Source organism: Homo sapiens, chromosome 2 (genome assembly GCF_000001405.40).
Source record: "Homo sapiens chromosome 2, GRCh38.p14 Primary Assembly".
NCBI classification, from domain to species: Eukaryota; Metazoa; Chordata; class Mammalia; order Primates; family Hominidae; genus Homo; species Homo sapiens.
In genome coordinates, this window is record NC_000002.12 from 217,993,792 (window position 1) to 218,014,065 (window position 20,274).

The window sequence follows — 20,274 nt, forward strand, 5'->3', positions numbered from 1 at the left end:
TGGTCAGGTAAGAGAGTCCTTGTAGAAAAATCAGGAAAGTATTTAACGGTGGTGGGGCATCATGTCAGCAACTTACTCTCAGAGTTCTGGAGGGGACAAATGTTCTTTGCACTGTATTTTCAACCTTTCTGAAGTTGGTTAGAAATTCAAAGAGAGAAGCAGACAGAGACGTCAGGGATGGGGGAGCAGAGACAAAAGCCCAGGCTAGAAGTGGGGACTGCGGAGGGTGGGGAGCTGGAGCCCAGCAGTGCCCCCTGGTGGTCAGGGAGGCCTCTGAGGGGTAGATCCAGCCAGCCACCTCCTGGGTTCTGATATTCCAGAGAGCTAGGTTCTAGGAGCTTTGGCTGGGGCTGGGGTGAGGGTGGGGCAGCTCTGGGCCTCACTCTCTGACCCCCATCCCACAAGAAGGGGCAGGTAAGTCTCCTCTGTTCATCTATCTCACTTCCCCTGGTTTCCGTCTCGGGCCTGGACTTGGGGGACTTCCCTTAGATTTCTGCCACAAACATTCCAGGGTGGGGGCCCTGGTCAGTGTCAACTGCAGCAGTCCAGGCCTGGGGGTGGGGGAGGTGCAGAGAGAGGACCTGGGGTTCAGTTTAAGGGCTGTCTGGGGGAGGCAGAAAGGAAACCCTAAAGCCAGCTCTCCTGGTCCGACTCTGGCAACCCACAAGCCTGTCTCTCCCACCCCACAAAGTCAGGCAAAGCTTCCCATTGCCACTTACCCAGCAAACTTCCCTCCCCATGCCCCATATCCAGCCCTTTTCCCAAACCCTAGGGATATAGGCCTTCTTCCCAAAGCACAGTTGGGGCAGCAGAGTCTCCCAGAAGAGAGCCCTGGCAGCCCAGTGACCCCATGGGTGGCATGTGCAGCCTTCCAGAACAGCTTCTCCCAGGGGCCCCAGTTTTGCCTGCCCTGGCAGCCCAGCCCCAAGAAATCTGAGTTTACAAAATATTTCCCCCCTGGGGCCTGGAGGGCAGGGACAGGGCTTCAGGTCCATCTCTGCCCTTGCTTAGGCCTCTCTAAGCAGCCACAGGGGATGCCCCAGGACATTCCTGCCCCTCAGCCCTACTGAGTTCTGGCTCTGGCTGAGCGAGCACTGAGGGAGGAGTCTGGAGAACTGCCTTCTAGGCTATGTGGCATTGAAAATATCAGTGACCTTTCCTGAGCCTCACAGTCCCCACATGAAAATGAGGAGTTTGGACCAGACAGTCTGAGTGTAGAGAGAGGGGGAAATGACACAACATTCCCTTTGGAATGAAGGGACTGAAAGTGATGGGGGTGGGACTTGCAGATGATTCAGAGAGTGGAATGAATGAGGAGACATCACTCCTCCAAGGAGGAGGCTGTGAAACTCTGGTAGGAGCGAGGGACTAGCTCTGCCACCTCCAGGCAAGTGGCCCCCAGGCTCTGCTGGCATCCACTTAGTTCCGCTGTGAAACAGGGACACTGCGCTGGTCTTGTTGAAACAGCTGTCCCATAGGTTTGATGTTCCCAGGATGCTAGAGGAGAAAGTCTACGGTCGGTGAGCCTCCTATCCTCAAATATATGAAGGAACAGTTATTGTAAGTAGGCACCAGACATCATCTGAAGTTCAGAAGGCAAAACCAAAACCAGGGGGCAGGCACTGCAAGAAGGCATAATGAGACTCAGTGGGGAAAAAAAAAACTTAACAATCAGATGCAAAAATATGGGCTAAGAAGAAAAGCGGGGTGCCTGGTACCTACCCAGCCCTCCCCCCGGGTTGTTCTGCAGGTACAGGCAGAGGATGTAAACAAGCCCCAAAAAGTGCAAAGTGCTTTTCAAGGGTAGTGGCTTGTTAGGGCAATGATCGTCACTTTTCCTGACAAGTGGCAGACGGCCTCACGGAGCACACCCCGGGGCCCTTCCTTTGCTGGCTGCAAAGGAACCTACTTAGGGAAAACTCAGGGGCAAAAGGAGACACAGCCACAGCTGGGAGCTGCCTGGTCTCTCCACACCCACACCCCTCAACCCCCACCTCTCTCAAGAGCCAGGGCCCAGGAAAGGGGAAGGGCTCCAGCCTATAAGTCCTTCTTCTCCTCCCTCCAAGCCCAGAGCTCTAGCCCCCACCCTGCCACCAGCCCACCCAGCATCAGAGGGCTTTCGTGGCCCTCGGGGCTTCCTCTCCCTTCCCTCCTTCCATGCAGCCCAGCTTTCCTGCCCGGGCCGCTCAGCCAGAGGGGTGTGGCACATCTGGCTTGGACAGCCTTGGCGAGAGTCCTTGGCCCTGGGGTGGGAAAGTCTGTTTGTTGGTTCCTCCCTGCCCCGTGGGGGCAGAGCAGCAGTGAGGGTTGGGTGGTGATGAAAGGGGGTGATAGACCCCGGGGTCCCCAGCTCCTGAGCTCCTCCTACAAAACTCCCTCAGCGCTGCCTCCCACAAGCCTTCCTGTGGCCAAAAAGCCCTGGATGATGTGGGGAGAGGGCCAGAGTCTGCAAGCCAGAGAAGGGGATCTCCACACACAGGCCTAGGACAGACCTGGGAGGTCAACTCCTGTCGCACTCACTCAGCCTCCTGGCCATCCACTGCCCCATGCCCCCTCACCCTTAGGCTGGGAGGCCTGGTGGGCATCCAGCGTCGTTTATGTGGGGAAGGCTCAGATCCCCAGTGGGGCTGCCGGCTGGCTTCTGGGAGTCCCATGGGCACCTCAAATCCCAGCTTCCTCCAACCCCACTTCACCTTTACACACACAAATCCCCCACCCCCATGCCCTAGCCATGTTCTTGGCCTGACCATGTTGTTGGTCGCCCTGGGTGGAAAGCTCTGAGTCACTCTCAACTCCTCCCTGCACCTCCCCCACCCCCAACTAACCAGTTGCCAAATCCTGTGAATTTTGCCTCCTAAACATTCATCGTCCTATGCTTTCTAATCCTACTGCCTCTGCCCTATATCAGGCCTTGGCACTTCTCCCCAGGGCTCTTGCAGCAGCCTCCTGGGCCCCGACACCAGGCCGCTCCCACCCATCGCCCCTACACAGCCTCCCAGGATCACAACTACAGCTCTGTAAGGTCTGGCACCTCCACTCACCCCAAATGCTGCCATGTCTTCCCAGATGTCCAGAATAAACCCTGCCCTCCCTGGAGCCAGCAGGAGAAGAAGTATTGGTCCCTACCCAGCCCACCCTGCCAGTCCCAATCCCCAAGATCCACTTCCCGGCTCCCTGCCCTGTGTCCACCCAGGCTGCTCCACGCTCTCCAGCCACCCGCCACCCCACTGCACCTCTAAGACTCTGCCCAGAATGCCCTTCCTCCCCTCTTTGCTTGTCCAGCTTCTAGGCACATTCAAGGGCCTGATTCAAACCTCATCCCCTCAGCAGGGGTCTTCCCAGATACCCCTGGACCCCTGTCAGAATCCATATCCCTACCCGCTGTCTCCTCATTTTAGTTTGAAAAGTGCAAAAGCTTCGGAAAAGATGAACACGCATGTTCCCTTCTCCTATGATCACACTCAGAAATTCAGCATCAATACAATCCCACTGTCTAATACAGTCATTCTACTGCCCCAAGAATGTCCATGAGAGCCGGGGCATTGTTTTCGTTTTCATTTTGGATTCAGGACACAATCAGGATCCTGAACTGCCTTTAGTGGCTGGGTCTCTCATCCTTTAAACTAGACACGTTATCCACCTCTCATTTTTCTTTCTGACACTGATGTTTCTAAAGGTTACAGGACAGATGTTTTGCAGAATGCCCCTCGATTTGGATTTTGATCACTTCCTCATGCGTCAGTGCAGGCTAAAATTCTGGGGAGGAATATGATTACCTTAGTGTCCCCTGCTTTTCCCAGTCGCTCTTTCTTTGAGCCTACAGCAGTACTTGCTGCAGTCTAACGGCCCCTGCACTTGTTACCTGGGCAAAGTGCTTAACTTGCTCTGCCTCACTCTACTAATCTGTTCAATGGACCAATGACAGTCACCTCCCATAGGCTGTTGTGAGGATGAAATGAGATTATGCCGTAAAGTCGGTGGAATGGGGCCTGGCGCATGGTGAGCGCTCAGCAGCGGTGAGCGATTCGTGTTGTCTTTTCTGTGTGTGTCAGATTACCTGCCAGGTAGACGTGTCAGACACACATCTGCTCTGTGTCCTCTGAGTCTAGCACAAGTCTGAAGAATCACATGGGTGAAGCTACTGCCTGGCCTCTGTTTTCTGTAGTGAAATTATACCCCATTCCCATGAACCAGCCCTCAGAAGAAAGAGAACGTGGGGCTACACTTGTTACAAGCCAAGACACCAGGTGACCAGGTACTGTCATCTTCTGGCTGAGGAGATGCTCTTGGTCTCCAAGCACCAGGAATCACCAAGGAAGGAAGGAGGGCAGACAGTGACATTTCCCCAGCACTTCCCAGGCCACTGCCCAAGAGCCTTTAGCTCCTGACTCAGTTTCCTGAGTGAGATAGATGAGTTCTCTCCATCAGTGTCTCTCTCTCTCTCTCTCTCTCTCCTGAGCGAGATGAGTTCTCTCCATCAGCATCTCTCTCTCTCTCTCTCTCCTCCTTCCTAATGCAGGCTGCCCACATTTCTGAATATCAAGCCCATTTTCTGCACTGAAACGAAATCATGTCCTGTCGTGGAACTGCTCAGAGATGGGGCTAGTCTGAGGCCCCATCAGTGGGGCCAGGCACTCTAGTGAGGGATTGGACTGGATTTCCTCGTTTAATCCTCACAATGACGCCCTGCGCTGGAGTGAGGAACTTTCCCAGGGCCTTTCCTCCATGGCCCTGGGCCTTGCTCTGTCGCCTGGGCTGGAGTGCAGTGGTGTAATCATAGCTCGCTATAGCCTTGACCTCCAGGGCTCAAGTGATCCTTCCACCTCAGCCTCCAAGTAGCTGGGACTACCAGCGCATACCACCATGCCCAGATAACTTATTTATTTTTCGTACAGACATGGTCTTACTATGTTGCTCGGGCCAGTCTTGAACTTCTAGGCTCAGGAAATCCTCCCTCCTTGGCCTCCCAAAGTGCTGGGATCACAGGTGTGACCACTGTGCCTGGCCAGATTCATCTTTAGATCTAGTTTAAAATTCACCTCCCGAGGAGTCTTTCCTGACACCTTCTCCCTACAGTCCAGGTTAGGTCCCCCTTACATCCCCCAGAGGTTCCCTCTTGGTAACACCCATCCTGCTTGCAATCATGTGCCAGTATGTGCAAGCAGCTTGAAGAGAGCAGGCCCTCCATAATAATCCGTGAAAAGGATGGAAAGCTGCGTGGGGGGTGTGGTTAGAAAGCCAAATGATGGGATGCTTCTTCCATCACACGACCTCCCCAACACCATGCCCTGACCCTGGGCTGCCCGCCACAGTCCTCTTCGCTGACTTAGGGCTCATGCGTCATTCTCAGGGCTTGATTCCCACGGACCCCACATGTCCTGCCCCAAAGCATTCCCAGAATGGAGAAGCCTGGCAGAGGATGCAGCAGATGGGGTTGGAGTCTTGACTCTGACTTGCTGGGTAGCCTTGAAAATGTGCCATCCTACAAGAAGCACTAACATTTCTTGAGCTCTTACATGTGAGAGACACTTTTCTAAATGTATGTGTGGATTAGCTCATTCAAAACCGAACAACCCTATAGGTAGGTGGGGAAACCAAAGCACAGAGATGTGAAACTACTTGCCTATGGTCACACAGCTGTCAAGTGACAGGCCCGGGATCCAGCCCAGGCATTGCACTCTCGGCCAGCATGCTACACTTCCTTTCAACACTGCAGAATAAAAGGGCAGTGCTCTTCCCAATTTTGTGCCTCACACATTACTTTGCAAAACTTTGCAAAAGGAGAGTCTTATTTCAGACCCTGGTGATTCTCATGCAGCCCAGCCTACCTCCCAAACCCACAGTCAGGAGGCCCTTACAGGTCAACCAAACTAGAGAGAACGAGTTCAGGACCAAAGAGTCAGATTGATGTCTGCATGACCGGAATTGTGCACAAGGAATCCAGAGCTCATGAGGACCCTTCTGTCAAAAATGTGTGCTTAGCACTGGGCAGGACACCAACTCCAGGAAACAAAATACATCATCGTCTGCAGCTGGATGTGGCCTTAGAGAATAGAGCCCACATTTCAGTGAGGTCCAGAAAAGTCGAGTGACCAGCTTGAGACCACTTAGCTGGCTCAGGGCAGAGCCAAAGCTGCACTTGACCCCCAGCCCCTGCCTGGTGGCTCTTTCAGCCTCACCCTGAGCCCCTTCCCAGTTCCTGAGGACCAGTGAGTCCCTCTGGAAGGAAGGGCCTCCACCTCTAACTCCTCCAGCACAACATCAAAAAGCCTCAATTGCTAGGCATGCAATTATTTTCTAAATAAACCGTACTTGAATATGTAATAGCAAATGGGAGCACTTGATGAGAAAATCAAGTTATGCATAATAAATAGCTCTGCTCCTCAGCTAATAAAGTGATTTTTATTCCTAGGACTTGTTAAAACTATGCACTACAGATATATTACTTCTTAGATGACACAATTGCAGCTTTCCCCATACAGGAACATGTGAACCAATAGATGCAAGCACTCACTCTAGGGCACAAGAACTATCTCAGTCACTTCCTGGCCTCAGAGTAGCTGGTCAGAGTCCCTGGGCAGTCAGCCCAGGAGTAGAGCCCAAGGAGTAGAGCCCTGTCCCATGACACCATTCCCAGGGAGATCCTCCCCCAGCATCAGGTCTGGGATACAGAGGATCCCAAGAACCAGGCAGGAGACTGTGGAGTGGGAAAGGGGCCAGCATTTGCTGAGCACCTACTGCATGCCTACATACCTGATCTTTTGATATCTATTGTCTCTTTCCCCACCCTAGCCATACAAGGAGTATATTATTCTCTGCACTTTACAGATCAAGAAATTGAGGCTCATGAAGGGAACTGCTTTACCAAGCCTGCCCATACCAAACGATGGAAATAGGGTTTGAGCCTAGTCCTATCTGGTGCCAGGACTGCTTCCTCTGTCCAGTCCCTACTGCCCCAGTCTCTGGCCCATCCTGGCCATGGGCATCACAGCCAGCCTAGAAAGGATGGGGACTAGGAGAGGAGAGGAAAAGGAGACAGGGGAGGGACACAGGCTTTTCTAGTCTTAAAGACACTCAAGGCCAGGCGCAGTGGCTCACACCTATAATCCCAGCACTTTGGGAGGCTGAGACGGGAGGATCACTTGAGGTCAGGAGTTCGAGGCCAGCCTGGCCAACACGATGAAACCCCATCTCTACTAAAAATATAAAAAATTAGCTGGACATGTTGGCACGCACTTGTAGTCCCAGCTACTCGGGAGGCTGAGGCAGGAGAATTGCTTGGACCCAGGAGGTAGAGGTTATAGTGAGCCAAGATCATGCCATTGCACTCCAGCCTGGGTGACAGAGTGAGACTCCATCTCAATTAAAAAAAAAATGAATAAATAAAAATAAAGACACTCAAGGAAGCAGCACTCACAGCTGCCTTGGTCCCCAGACTCTTCCCCTTACTCTCAGGGAGGGTATAACACCCATAGGGCACTCTACCTGCCAGGCACTGCCCTGGGGAATTGGATACAAAATTTCATCCCTACCTCTCTGTACCCTGTTTCTCTGCAATCCTCATTTCACCAACGGGAAAGCAGAGGCTCACCAGGATGAGGCACTTTTCCCAGTATCAGTCAGCTGAAGGGATCTATAGAGCCCTCTCTCCAGTCACAGCAGCTCGTCACCCCTGGAGGTCTACCTGCCATCCTTCTTGTGTCACCCCTGGACGTCTACCTGCCATCCTTCTTGCTGCAGAGCTCCCTCCTGCCTACCTCTGTCCTCAGCACAGAGACGAACCTGGCCAAGGCTCCCATTTCCCAGATGTCAACACCAGCCCAGTAAACCACAAATGCATCCTGTGTGCAGGCCTCCCCAGTCACTCTCAATCTATTAATCCAATCCATCCCAGCACCCCAGCCCAACATGCCACCCAAACCGCCTCATTCCAGGCCCCCTCCCCCACCCTTTCTTTCTTTGCCCAGAGGACACCTGGCTGCCCGAGTTTGTGTTCCCACAACTGCCCCCAGCATGGGCTTGCCTGGGCCAAGAGGGCCCTCCCGAGGACTGGCCAGAACAAGGAAAGGGACAGGAAAGGCCACATCTGGATCACAGCCCTGAAGCCCCCTCCCCCAAACCAGCCATCACTCTCTCAGAGCCCAACAGTAACCTCAGCCAGGGACGACTTCCTCACCCTCCTGACCCCATGCATGCCTTTGCCTGGCCAAGACAGCCCCACAGGAGCCCCTCTGAGGAAGGGGTCCTCTCCTCCTCTGACCCCCAGCCCTTCTGCAGCAGGCAGCCCTCTCCCATCCCCCTTTACCCAGGAGCCTCAGCCCAGGTCTGGCCTTAAGACTTTTAACCTTCACCACGTGGCCCCCAGGCCTCTCTGCTGGCCCCCCTGGCATCCCCATCCTGAAACCCACCTCCCTGAACCTGGAGCCAAGAGAGAAAGGGGGAAGAGCGGGCCATGGCTCCCTCCTCCAGGATGGAGAGGTCTTGGTAGCAGGGGAGGGCTGTGGAGGAAGGGATGGCAGTGGGTGGAAGCTGAAACTGGGTGTAGAAGGAATAAAAGGGATGGACTCTGAGAATTCTCCCACAGCCCAGCTCTTCCAGACTTAATATTTTGGACTACTATTCTTTGCTCCCCAGCCCCACCACTGCCTCCTCCTCAAGATCTTGGGCTCAGCAACTGAGGGGGGGCGGTGAAGAATTTTCACCCCATTGTAGGATGCAAGTCGGGAGGAAAGGCTCTAAAGAGAAGCAAACTTCTCTGTGGCCTCCTTCCACTTACAGCTCTGGGACTCCATTGGGGGGTGGGGGGGTGGGGCAGGGGATGTACTGACCCGGGACCCTGGGCCTGGGCCCTGTTGGTGGGGAAAGTCTTCCGGCTGAGGGTTGCTCAAGTCAGTCTGTCCTTCTGTAGGTCAGAGACAGAAAGGCCCCTCCTTCAAGACTGACACCCCCCGACCCCGGGCTCTCAGCAAAAGGATAAGGTGGCAGGGGCCGGTGGGGGGCGGGGGGTTTGAGGAAGAGTAACGTCGCAGCTAAAGCAGCCAGACCTACCCAGAGCATGCAGGACAGACAGATCCACGTCATCTTTGCTGGGTCCCGTCACTGAGGCACGCCCAGGGCCTGTGAAGAGCCCCTGAAGCTAGAGTCCCCGCGGCGCTGGCAGAAGGGCTCTCTGAGTCCGCGGCTGCTCCGGCTCCGCCAGCATCTGCTGGGCCTCTCGCCCTGCTGCCTCCAGCTCACCCTCCCTCCTCCTCCTCCTCCCCCCACTCCACCCCTCGTCCCAGCCTCCTCTCTCCTCCCTCCTCCCAGGCTCCACCGGTGGCCTTGAGGGTCAGGAACCCTGCTTTGCAGGGGGTGTAAAGGGGACAGGGAAAAGGGAAAGCTACCAGAGGCAGGGCCCCCCCAGGCCGTGCCCCCCACCCCCGGACACACAACCCCTGTGTGCCACCAAGGCTCCTCAGTCTTCTGATCTGGTGCTGGTAGGCCTGGAGTCCTCCCTCCTCACTGCAGACCCCCGCCCCTGGCAAACCAGCCTGGGGGCCTTCACTCCTGGAACCCTCCAGACCACTGATGGATGAACAGACAGCCCCAGGCCCACACAATCAGCACACTCAGGGTGCCTTGGCCCCTCCCCTTCTCTGAGTACCCGTGCCTGCCTTCCTGGCCTCCTCGGAACACACATGCATTTGCACACACAGACTGGGACAGACTCTGGTGCCCACGCGCCAAGCTCAGAGCCCAGGACAGGCCTTAACACAGAAGAAATAGGGCCCGAGACTGGGGAAGAATGGCCCTGCCCCCAGGCTGTGGGTTTCATTCCAATTTTTTTCCTATTTCTTTTTTTTTCCCCCTTCTTTCTTTCTTTCCTGCAAACATCTGTCCCAGCCTTTCCTGCCCTTCTGAAAGGGAGCCCCGCTCCAGGCTCCCGCGAGAGTGTGTTTTTCTTGACTGTACCCGGGGCCAACATTTGGTTTGCATTTCCCCACTTCCTCCCCCTCCTCCCCTCTCCCCCTCCCTGGGCCCAGTTCTCCCCTCCCACCATTCCACAGGCCTATTTCTTCCCCTCAGTGTCCCCTGCCCACCAGCCCTCCCCTCCCCTCGCCCCCACCTCTGCCCAGGGACAATTGTTGGGGGTCTAGAGGGTGGAAAGGAGGCTGGGTCAAAACCCAAAAGTATTCCCACGGAGCACTAAGGGGGAATCCAGCAAAGTCTGCCCCAGGCCTTCATTGTCTGGAACCACCACGTTCCCCTCCAAAAAAAACCCTTCCTCTTTGAGCTCTGGCCTTGGCTGGACCAACTGAGGGTGGGTGGGGGCCAGTGAATCACCCGCTCTGTTCTTTGGAGCTGTCCAGGAGAAGGAGGGAGGGCTCAGCCCCACACCCTCCTGTGGACACACACACACACAAGGACACAGTCCAACTCACGTCAACACATAAGAGCCCTCCCAGAGTAGGCACTTGGAGACCTCGTTCCTAGACTGAGTCACTTAGCAAGAAAAGTTCTCTTGCCTGGCCTCCTATGCACACTGTGCTATACATGCCCTGGGGCCACATGCACGAAGGGTTACAGATCCCCTGCCTCCCCCCCCCACTCACCCAAGGCCATGCCATGCCGCTGTCTGTCAGCACCACATACCGTGCAACTACCAGCCTCCTCTTTCACAGGGATCTGCCCAGCCACTTGTGCCAACTCCCAGCCCAGGGACCACCCAAGACATCTACCTGGGAAACCCCAGAATGAAGGGGAAACACTGACTCTTCATCTGAAAAAAAGACTGCAGTATTCAGATACACAGGTTGTCCACAGCACAAGGGACTAACCATCTATTGTTTGGTGGTTCTGAGAAGTCAGGGGAGGACACTGAAGTGAAGTGTCAATTTCCAGCCCTTCCTAAAGCAGGTACCTGAGTGAAGAGTCTTTGTTCCGGTAGAGGAGTCAGGGTCCTCTCTCCATACTTCTCCAAGTCCTCCAGAGCTCTGGGGCTGGGAAAGATCCTGCCTCTAGTGTCCTTCCCTGCCAGGATCACAATGTCCCTCTGGACCCCCTACTCTAAGCCTCCTGGGGCTTCACTGACATTTTAGCCAACGCTGAAATGAACCAGTGTTCCACATGCAGTTGGCCCTGCAGTCACAGCTGGGGATGTCCATAGACAGAAACCTCTGCAAACCCTCCCGTCTCCCCTGGCTGGAGCACCAGGCAAGCAAAGGGGAGTGGTCTTCAGGAGGCCTCTCTGAGAGCCCCTGAGCCCCTCCTCAGCCACTATCACCAGCTCTGCCAGGCTGCCCTTGTCCCCTGACAAGTTCAAGCCTTCAGCCAGCTAAGCCCTGACATCCCAGTGCCCACTCACACCAAGCTCCCCGCTGCCTGCTCCCACAGCCCTTCACTGCTGGCGTCACTGAAGACGCCTCCAGGCAGCTTTCTCTGGAGTTCTGAGAAGTCACCTTGGGGCTTCCCAGAAATGCTGGAAAATCAAACCAAAAACCAAGTCACAGTGACACCAACTTGTCTGGCCTCCTACACAGCCCGAGGAGGCCCTGCTGCTTCCCCAGACTCCTCAGCTAGGACTGTGAATGGAAGTAGGGGACCCTAGTGCTGGGGGTTCCCTTGGAGAAACCCTCCCTCCAGAATACCCCCATCCCTCTTCTCCAAGCCTATGGGGTCTCTCCTGTATATTAATCGCTTATCATCAAGATGTCCTTCCTGCTAATTAACCACCATTTTCCCTGTTGAATGTTAAACTCTGCCGACTGAGGTGTCTCTAACTGTGTGTAATGACCCTGTTCCAGGCTTGTCAGCCTTTATTCCTCCTTCACAGCCTGGTGTCTCCACCCCAACCCACACACGGGCAAGGACGTGTCCTGTGTTTTGTATCCCCAGAGCCTGGCATACAGCAGGCACCAGACATGGTTGAAGAATGACTCAATCACTCAATCAATTAGTCAATGGATCCTAACATATTTTCCTACTGTAAGCATTCACTGCCTCCTTCCCAAACCTTCCTTCTTTTCCCTTCAAAAGGGCCTCAGGCAGCCCTGCCTGTACACTTTTGCCCACAATTTCAGTGCCACCCTATCTGCAGCCACCTCTGCCTGCTGCCAATGCCCCATTCCCAAGCTCTAGCCAGCTGCAGACTCTCCGCAGGCCTGGATGGTTTCATTCATCTTGGGATCCCCACCCTGTGCCCAGACCCCTGTCTCACACACAGCAGACATGGAGTACACACTGGAGGACTGGCTGGGGCTCTACACTGGCATCCCAGAAGCCTCAGAACCCAGCCCCAACCCTGTGCCATCCCCATTTCTGCCTTCCCGCTGCATGCGGAGACCTCCCTCCGCTCATCCCTCCAGCCCCCTGCTCAGCAGCCAGCTGAAGAAACAGAGTCAGGTCTGTGGGCTGTGGTGCTGGCCCTGGGGCTGGAGGAGGGTGGAGCCAAGGCAGAAGGAAGGGTGAGTGTGGTCAGGAATGAGCTAATGGCCTTAGAGCCTGAGCCTGGCAGGCCCCTCCCTGGGCCTCAGTTTCCTTTACCTGTAGAATAACAGGACTGATGGCCTCCAAGGTCCCTTCCAGCTCCACCTTCTGCGATGACACGAGTTTCCCAGGCCAAGGCCCCAGCCCCATCCAATTCACTCTTCCTTTCCTTTGACTCTTGTCCACCAAAATATTCTTACTGATGTCCACCCCTCTCCTACCAGGGCGTTAAGCCTTTCCTTTGTCACCACTGGTCACAGCATCTGAAGGTAACAGAGCATTTTAAAGCTGGAAAGGTCTTCAAGCTCAGCTGCCCAGGGGTCACGGTAACAGCCTTTGGGGGTCACCTAGAAGTTCAATGAGGGGAGCGGGCAAGGGGTCACAAGGGCCTGGTGAGGACAGGCCCCAGCTGAGGGGGATGCCCACTCCTTGGTTCCCCACTACAGCATGCAGCAACACAAGCCCACATCTCCACATGTTTTGATCTGCCATAGAACCCTCAACTCCATATTTTATATAAAATATTTTTACAAAATTGAAAAAATACAAATTTGAAAGTGTTGGCTTAAAAAAAAACCACTCTGAAGGTCCAAGCGAATGTGTTTGCCAGGAGGGTTAGTCTCAGGGCACCGCTAGCCTAATCCAGCCCCCTTGCTTAACAGACAGCCACACTGCGTCAAGAAAGGTGGCGTGACTCATCAGAGGTCACAGAGCCCATAAAAAGCAGAGATCCAGTCTCTCAGTTCCCAGACCCTGGATTTTTTCCCTAAACCCTGCAGCCTGCCACCTCTCACAATGGGGCCACTCACACTGCAGCCTTCCTCCCAGACCATCCTGAGGGGCCCACATCCAACAGGTAAGGGCAGACCTGGCAATGGGGTTCTTCACCAGTGTCCAGGTAAAGATCCCAACAGCACGAGACCCAGGAATCTACACCAAAGCACTCAGCTCCTGGACCTCCACCCTCTCAGCCCCTCAGATTCTGGTATTCTCCCCCTTCCCCAGGAAAGATTAATACCAATTAACTAGGCACTTGGCTTGCTGCATTGTCTTGAAGGCTCCTACTAACCCTCATTTTGTAAATGCAGAAACTGAGGCACATAGAGGTTCAGCAACCAGCTCAGGGTCACACAGCTAGTATGATGTGTGAAAATGGAGCTCAGGTCATCTGATTCCACATCTCCCATGGATGGAGAATGTTCTTACAGCAATACGGCCACCCCAGGACTAGGGGCTATGCTTCCATGTTGTGGTGACATGTTAACTGTTCTCTCCACTCGCCTAAGGGCTGACCCTGAGGCTCGGGGGGTGGGGGGGGGGGTTCAGCCAGGTCTTGCTTGGCAGGAGAGAGTGGGGAGCCAAGGATAGTGCTACTACATGGGTCAGGATGAGACCAACTGGCTCCCTAGTGGCTCCAGAAGAGTCAGCGAGGAGAGATCTGGGTGCAGTCAGGGTCTGTCCCCTGATGCCCCTAGGACCTCCCTTAGGTAAGCCATGTTGCCTCACCCTACCCCTCACCCTCATACACCTCAGCCTCTGAGTCCCGGGTGCCCAGACCTCTAGCAGAGGGTGCATGAGTGGGAGCTCAAGTCCCATCCATGCCCTACCCACCAAGCCCTGGCATGAGATGCATCAGCCCAGAGCATGGGGCACTACATTCTAATGCCCACCAAGGCACGACATGGTCTGGGGGAGGCCCTGCCCTCAGCCTCCACATCCAGCACTCCTCTAGTACCAGATTGAGGTCACTCTCTTGCACTGCAGAAATGTGGGTGCTCTCTGAGAGAGAAGACAGAGCTCCAACCAGGCCCTGTGTGAGCCTCAGTATCCCCAGCTGACACGAGAAGGAGCCTCACTCACACCCCTTCCCCTACCGCCCCTTCCCCATCACCCTGGGCGGAGACGTGTCTGGGCCCAATCCCAACAATGCTTAATAAGATCCTTCCCAGAGCTCTACTCCACAATCTTGATCTCTTCCCCAGCTCTAATTTCCTGCCTGACTCAGGCCCCGCAAAGGCTGGAGGGAGGCAGCTGCAGCTGCTCATCCACCCCCGACCCCCAGTCGCCAGCTCAAATCCTGGCCCAGAAGGAAAAGGAGAGTGGAGTGAAGTGGTTCCGTCATCCTCTACCTCCGCAAATGGGGAGGGGGTGTTGCTAAGCAGTCTGGGGTCCAACTGACCTGGTCCTGGCCGGCCATTTCCCACTTCAGGCTCCTTTTCTCAAATCTAGAAATCCAGACTCCATGGCATCTGAACCCAGAACCCAGTGGAATGTGGACAGGGCTCCAGCCCTGTGATCTGCAGCTGCAGGGCCTGCCTCTCAGCCAATCCCTGAGGACAATGCATTTTGCTGGAAGATTTCAAAGCATACCTTGGGTAACTGGAACAGAAGCCTGCTGGCACCTTTCCCCACTGCGGAACAGCAGAGAGGGAAACTGAAGCTCAGAGGTAGCACCTGGGAGAAGGAGCTAAAAGTCCAAGCTCCTAATGGAGCAGAAGAATCCTTCCCATCCATTTGGATGGCAAGCATGGATACTGGGAGAAATCTCTCCATCCCTACATACTCCAACTCTGGCCTGCCTAATGGTCTGCAAGATCCCTGCTGGAAGCAGACAATAACAATGATAATATCCCTGTTTTTTTTTTAATCAAACACCTGTTATGGAGTAGGCACAGTTAAACACTTTAAATGCATTACCTCATTTAATCCTCACAACACTCCAAACGATGTAGATATTTTCATTATCCCCATTTTACAGATGAGAAAACCAAGATACAGGCAGATCCTGTAACTAGCCTAAGGTCTACAGCTGGTAAAGCCAGAATTCAAACCCAAGTGGCTGGCTCCATAGCTGGGACTCTTAACCAGAATGGTGGACTTCCCCCTCCCGTGTGACAGGGGACCGTCCCTGCCCCAAGAGAGTGGGTCGGAAAGCCAGGACTTCCAGTCCCTGGGATCCTTCCCCTCATTAGAGGCTCCTGGGGTCCTGGGGGCTCTAGGTCATGATCTTGGGGTTCTCCTTGCCCTCCAGGGAGAATTTAAAGTTACACACAGTTTTTCCAATTCCCTACTTTGTAGCTATGCCCCCACCTCCACCTCCACCCTCACGTCTATACTCCCCCCACCCACACACATACACACGTTACACACACGCTGAAGGCAACATCAAGCATCCTCTCTGAGAATCCCAGGGAGACCGATGCTCAACCAGGACACGCCCACCCACAGCACTGCAGGTTCCCCAGACCCCTGCTCCCGCCCCCAGCCCAGCTGCTGCTCCCTCCCTGGCGCCCCAGCCCCCATCCTCTCCCTGTCCAGTTCCCTGGTCCCTCCATCCTGAATAAGTGGGAAATCCCTCCTGCCGTCCCCCAGCCACCCCATTCCCGTGTTCATTTCACTTCCTTACCTCGCTGCCTTAACTCGGTGGCTTCTGGGGATCGGGGGACAGGGGGCATTTCCAGGAACCCACCTTCCCTTCCCACGGAAATTTGAGAGGGATGCTTAAAACCCCAGGAACTTTACTCCGTATCCCCAAATCCGCCGCCCTCCCACAGACTCCGGGGCTATCCTTCAGACTTCTGATCCAAGCCCAAGACACCCAGGGGTGTGCGCTGGGGGAGGGGCAGCAACTCCCCTTCCCGGATCCCAGCAACCTGGGTGGCGACTCCCCCGGAGTCCCAAACTCTGCTGAGAACCAGGCTGACGATGGCCGAGACGGAGGGTCCCTGAGAGTGGAGGGTAGTAAGTCAGATCGAATGCCCAGGAGACTGCGGGAGGGAAGCGTCTGGGAGGGAGGGGGCGGGGGGGGGTCGGAAGGGGCCAGGTGTGGCCGAGAGCATTTACCTGGCTGCGGAGGCAGAAGCGCAGGGGCAGGAGGCACGAGAAGAGGTACTTGCCCCATCGGATCACGCAGGAGAAGCACCAACTCAGCCGAGTCATGCTGACCCCGAGAGTGGGCGCCTGGGGCGCGAGGGTCGGAAGAGGTGGACCCGCCGCTCCTGGCGCAGAGTTCCGGGGTTGGGGCGGGGTAGGAAGGCGGGCGCCCTGCCCTACCCTGTCCCGGGTCTCCCGGAGGCTCAGCCCCGGAGGAGCAGCCCGTGTCCTGCTGCCCCCTCTAGCGGGAGGAGCGGCGCGGGAGGCCCGCGGCGCGGCCCGGACTGGGCTCCATCTCCGGGGAACCCCCACGGGGCGCGGGCAGCAGGGGGCTTACACCCTCAGGGACTCTTCCTCCGCGGCTTTCTCCTCCCCTGGCTGCGTGACAGCCTCCGCCTCCTGCTTCCCGGGCGCGCTGCGGGGCGGATGCCGGCACCCCGGCAACTTCTGAGGTTCGGGGAGCCGCGCGGGGGAGGCGGGAGGGGAGCCGGCAGAGGCGGCGCCCGGCGCCGGGCGTCCGGCGTCCACCTGCGAGGAAGGAGCAGCAGCCGCGGGAGCCGGGGCGGCGGCGGCGGCAGCATTGTGCTCCTGGCTGCAGTGAGGGTGTGAGCCTGCGTGTGTGAGTGAATGCGGATTCCCTCCAGAGCCCACTCCAATTCCCATATTGCTCCCCAGGGCATAATGTAATTAACTTAAACGGAGGCCTCCGGCTTCCATGACCCAAGTAGACACATCCCTGTTCCAGGCGTGCACGTGGGGACTCTGTGCACAATCTGGACCAGCTGTCCAGTCCCACCTCCAACCTCTGACCCTGGCCACACACTCCGACTCCTCAGCCAGGATCTCTCTCTATCCCACTCAGTGTGAGGGCGCTCAGACGTTCAGCACATCCAAAGAGCCCCCACAGGTTGGAAGGGACCCTGCCTGGGAGAGAGGAGAGCTGGACCAGCACTCTAGGGCTGGAGCTGCAGCCGCCTGCTCTGGGTTCAGGGCCTCCACTTCACATCTTCTCCCTTCTGCGTGCCCTTGCCTACCTCTGCTGTGCTCAGCTGAACAGAGGATGGGGCCCTCTCAGGAATATTGTGTGAGGTCATCCTATTAGGACCCTAGAACTAGGGAGAGGGAAGGAAAAAGAGGGGAGGCGGAGGTCCTGGACTCTAGAGAGAGATGGGGAGAGACACAGAGACAGGTAGACAAAGGCAGAGAGAGGCAGGCAGAGAGTGCGGAGAGCTGGAGGGGCACCCATGAGCATTGCCCGGGGTTCTGTGGCTGCAGAGAAAGTGGGAGGGCAGGCAGCCAGCCAAGCCGGGAGAGAAGAGGGGCGGAGGAGCTGCCAGGGGGCCTCTTCCGCAGCAAGCGCCACTGGAGCCCAGCCAGACCCCTCCCCCATCCCCCTGGGGCTGGGCTGCCCTAGCACCATCTCAGGGCCATTTTTCCAGATGATGCTGCCTCCCTGTCCCCTTCCTCTCCTGCACCAGCCAGGGTCCCTTTCCCACTGTGTGGGCGGAGGCCCTGAAAGTTTCTCAGCTAGCTCACCCCTGCCCCCAAGCTCTCCTCCGCCTGCCCCCCGCGACAGATTCCTCAGGCCCTGCCCGTCCCCATTGCAGCTCCCCACCTCGAGACAAGGCAGTGGGGTCCAGCATTTGGAGGAGACTAGCAGGACCCCAGGGAGGGAGAAGGAAGAAGAGGTTCCTACTGGCGAGTGGATAGAGACGGGGGAAAGAGAGACATTAGGGGCCCTCATCCTCTAACAAGCCCTCCAGCAAGGGGGATCACTCAACAACCACCACACATGCTCTGGATAAAAGCTGGAGGGGGCATCAGGGAGGTAGGAGGAGAGGTAGTGTGATCCCCACACTAAAGTGAGCCCATCTCCAACAGGCCGGGCCTTTGTTCATGCCCACAATCTCAAGGGAAGCCCCAGCACTGCTGAGTCCTGTTCCAAGTCTGCAGAGGGGGCCTTCCTCCTCTTCTAGGGGCCTTCAATCTCTATAGCTTCCCTACTCCTTGTCAGAGGAAATAGATAAAGGGAAATAGATAAGACATGAGACAGAAGGAAATGGGGTTTAATGCATCGCAAGTAGAATGAAGTTTCATCCAAAGGAATCACTTGTGGAATTTCTAAAATAGGAGGAAGTTATTCAGACAATATTGGCTAAAGTGTGGCCCTGCCTAGATTAAGAGAGGAGGACAACATGACTTTTAAGAAAATTACCAAAACCTTCTCAGCACTTGGGCATGAGAGACACTCAACAAACAGAAGGAAAGAAGAGTGAGCTGGTAGAAAGGGAAGGAAGTAATGATGGCATCCAAGGCTTCCCCGCCTGAAGCCAATGATGAACTGAGCTCAGCAGGGCAGAGTCCATTTCCAGCCACTGCCCAGCATGAGGTGCCTCAAGCCAAGGACACTCCAAAGAGAGAGGAGAGAGTCCAAGGCTCACAGGGACCTGAAGCCAGGCCTGCCACTGCCTGGAGGGTATCCCAGCTTCCCACTTCCAACTTCTGGCCCCCCACCCCCCATACCCCATATAGCTTCATGCCAGGTGCCTCAATACCTGAAGGTCAATGCCATACTGCCACAAGTACTCTGTTCTGTTTTCGTCACCAAGGGAGGTCAGAATCCCAAGGATAACAGCTGCAGGGTCCCCAGACCCTCCTGAAGCCACTCCAGAACCTCCTGAAAGATTCTAGCCAGGACCCCCTTTGCTTCTTCTTTCACCAAAATTCACATATGGGAGTGGGAGAGTTGGGTGGGGGGTTCTAATCCCAAATGATCTTCTCTCAGTCTTGATCCCTTTTCTCCCTCAAAACACTCAAAGCATCAGAAACTGCATCAGGCCATGCACGGTGGCTCACACCTGTAACCCTGGCACTTTGGGAGGCTGAGGCAGGCAGATCACTTGAGGTCAGGAGTTCGAAACCAGCCTGGCCAACGTGGTGAAACCCCATCACTAGTAAAAATACAAAAAAAAAAAAATTAGCGGTGCGTGGTGGCAGGTACCTGTAATCCCAGCTACCTGGGAGACTGAGGCAGGAGAATCGCTTGAACCCAGGAGGCGGAGGTTGCAGTGAGCCGAGATTGCGCCACTGCACTCCAGCCTGGGTGACAGAGCGAGACTCTATCTCAAAAAAAAAAAAAAGAAAGAAATTGCATTCAGCACCTGGTAGGTGCTCAGTCCGTCTTCCCTCCAGGTCCCTGAGCAGAGATGCAAAGCTCCCCACAGTGGACCAGACACAGACACTCAGACACAGGGAACCATGTATTAGAGGCCAAAACATCCCCCCTAGGGAGGGATCAGGGAAGCCTGGGCAGGTTCTGGGCTGCCCTGGGGGCCTCATGCCAGATCACATGAAGAGATCTCTCTGCAGCCCCCATGTGGAGGTCCAACAGTGGCCCCCAGCTCCTCGCATCTCCCTCCCCAGTGCTACTTTTGAAGAGCTGGTCACCATCCTCCCAGGTTAACCTATCCTCTGGGGACTGCTTGTCCCCCTGCTCATGTGACATGGCCCTCTCCAGGCTCCCACAAACCCTGGACCTGCCTCCAAGCCTTAGCACCCCTGCTTATCCTCCCTCCCGCACCTCTCCTCAGCCACAGAGTCCAGACTGGCAAGGGGGGCTATACTGGGGGTCTGGCCAGGAGTTGGAGGAGGAGGAATGACTTCTCCACACCCCACCATATCCATGCAAGCAGAGATCTGGATTCTGAGTGCAGGCCAGGGAGGAGGCTCCAGAGTCTATGGCCAGGTGGGATGGAGTCCATGTTTGCAGACAGTGTCTTCTCTGGGCCCTTCTCCCCAAGTTTGCCCTGGATCTGGGTTAGGAGGGCCCCTTATTCCCCCAGAGAAGCAAGAAAAGAATGGGAAACTTCCCAGAGGCAGCCAGCACAGGTGTTGGGGAAACAAGAGAGCAGGTCATGGGAGGAGGGCCCACCTGGC

At 55.7% G+C, this 20,274-nt stretch overlaps 1 protein-coding gene and 1 long non-coding RNA gene across 11 annotated transcripts in view, besides 8 other annotated features; one reads left to right on the plus strand and one right to left on the minus strand.

Moving 5' to 3' along the window:
- TNS1 (tensin 1) overlaps positions 1-20,274 on the minus strand; it is a 234,192-nt gene that overhangs the window by 194,001 nt on the left and 19,917 nt on the right. For 5 of the 10 annotated variants that reach the window (NM_001438866.1, NM_001387777.1, XM_047445642.1 and 2 more), the window contains exon 1: positions 9,049-9,204. The exons of 1 other annotated variant lie outside the window; for it this stretch is intronic. In NM_001438866.1, the coding sequence (NP_001425795.1) occupies positions 9,049-9,081 (33 nt within the window). In that variant the 5' untranslated portion in view covers positions 9,082-9,204. Of the gene's footprint in view, positions 1-9,048; positions 9,205-16,308; positions 16,485-20,274 lie in introns of those variants that run through there. 4 more of the 10 variants (NM_001438865.1, XM_047445639.1, XM_047445638.1 and 1 more) reach the window with 1 other exon arrangement.
- Positions 163-212: an enhancer, noted in NCBI's record as "active region_17111". NCBI's record gives its function as "activates an Ori minimal core promoter by ATAC-STARR-seq in GM12878 lymphoblastoid cells {active_cell/tissue: GM12878}" and the evidence as "EXISTENCE:reporter gene assay evidence [ECO:0000049][PMID:35858748]".
- Positions 823-1,322: an enhancer, noted in NCBI's record as "H3K4me1 hESC enhancer chr2:218859337-218859836 (GRCh37/hg19 assembly coordinates)". NCBI's record gives its function as "activates a minimal SCP1, AML or CMV promoter by ChIP-STARR-seq in primed H9 embryonic stem cells {active_cell/tissue: H9 hESC(primed)}" and the evidence as "EXISTENCE:reporter gene assay evidence [ECO:0000049][PMID:30033119]".
- Positions 1,724-2,502: an enhancer, noted in NCBI's record as "H3K4me1 hESC enhancer chr2:218860238-218861016 (GRCh37/hg19 assembly coordinates)". NCBI's record gives its function as "activates a minimal SCP1, AML or CMV promoter by ChIP-STARR-seq in naive H9 embryonic stem cells {active_cell/tissue: H9 hESC(naive)}" and the evidence as "EXISTENCE:reporter gene assay evidence [ECO:0000049][PMID:30033119]".
- Positions 2,503-3,280: an enhancer, noted in NCBI's record as "H3K4me1 hESC enhancer chr2:218861017-218861794 (GRCh37/hg19 assembly coordinates)". NCBI's record gives its function as "activates a minimal SCP1, AML or CMV promoter by ChIP-STARR-seq in naive H9 embryonic stem cells {active_cell/tissue: H9 hESC(naive)}" and the evidence as "EXISTENCE:reporter gene assay evidence [ECO:0000049][PMID:30033119]".
- Positions 7,648-8,148: an enhancer, noted in NCBI's record as "H3K4me1 hESC enhancer chr2:218866162-218866662 (GRCh37/hg19 assembly coordinates)". NCBI's record gives its function as "activates a minimal SCP1, AML or CMV promoter by ChIP-STARR-seq in primed H9 embryonic stem cells {active_cell/tissue: H9 hESC(primed)}" and the evidence as "EXISTENCE:reporter gene assay evidence [ECO:0000049][PMID:30033119]".
- Positions 8,149-8,649: an enhancer, noted in NCBI's record as "H3K4me1 hESC enhancer chr2:218866663-218867163 (GRCh37/hg19 assembly coordinates)". NCBI's record gives its function as "activates a minimal SCP1, AML or CMV promoter by ChIP-STARR-seq in primed H9 embryonic stem cells {active_cell/tissue: H9 hESC(primed)}" and the evidence as "EXISTENCE:reporter gene assay evidence [ECO:0000049][PMID:30033119]".
- Positions 10,390-10,489: an enhancer, noted in NCBI's record as "active region_17112". NCBI's record gives its function as "activates an Ori minimal core promoter by ATAC-STARR-seq in GM12878 lymphoblastoid cells {active_cell/tissue: GM12878}" and the evidence as "EXISTENCE:reporter gene assay evidence [ECO:0000049][PMID:35858748]".
- Positions 13,211-15,094, plus strand: LOC124907982 (uncharacterized). The gene is made up of 2 exons (XR_007088088.1): positions 13,211-13,321; positions 14,695-15,094. It is a non-coding gene; the product is annotated as an uncharacterized LOC124907982 (long non-coding RNA).
- Positions 16,464-16,713: a silencer, noted in NCBI's record as "silent region_12309". NCBI's record gives its function as "represses an Ori minimal core promoter by ATAC-STARR-seq in GM12878 lymphoblastoid cells {active_cell/tissue: GM12878}" and the evidence as "EXISTENCE:reporter gene assay evidence [ECO:0000049][PMID:35858748]".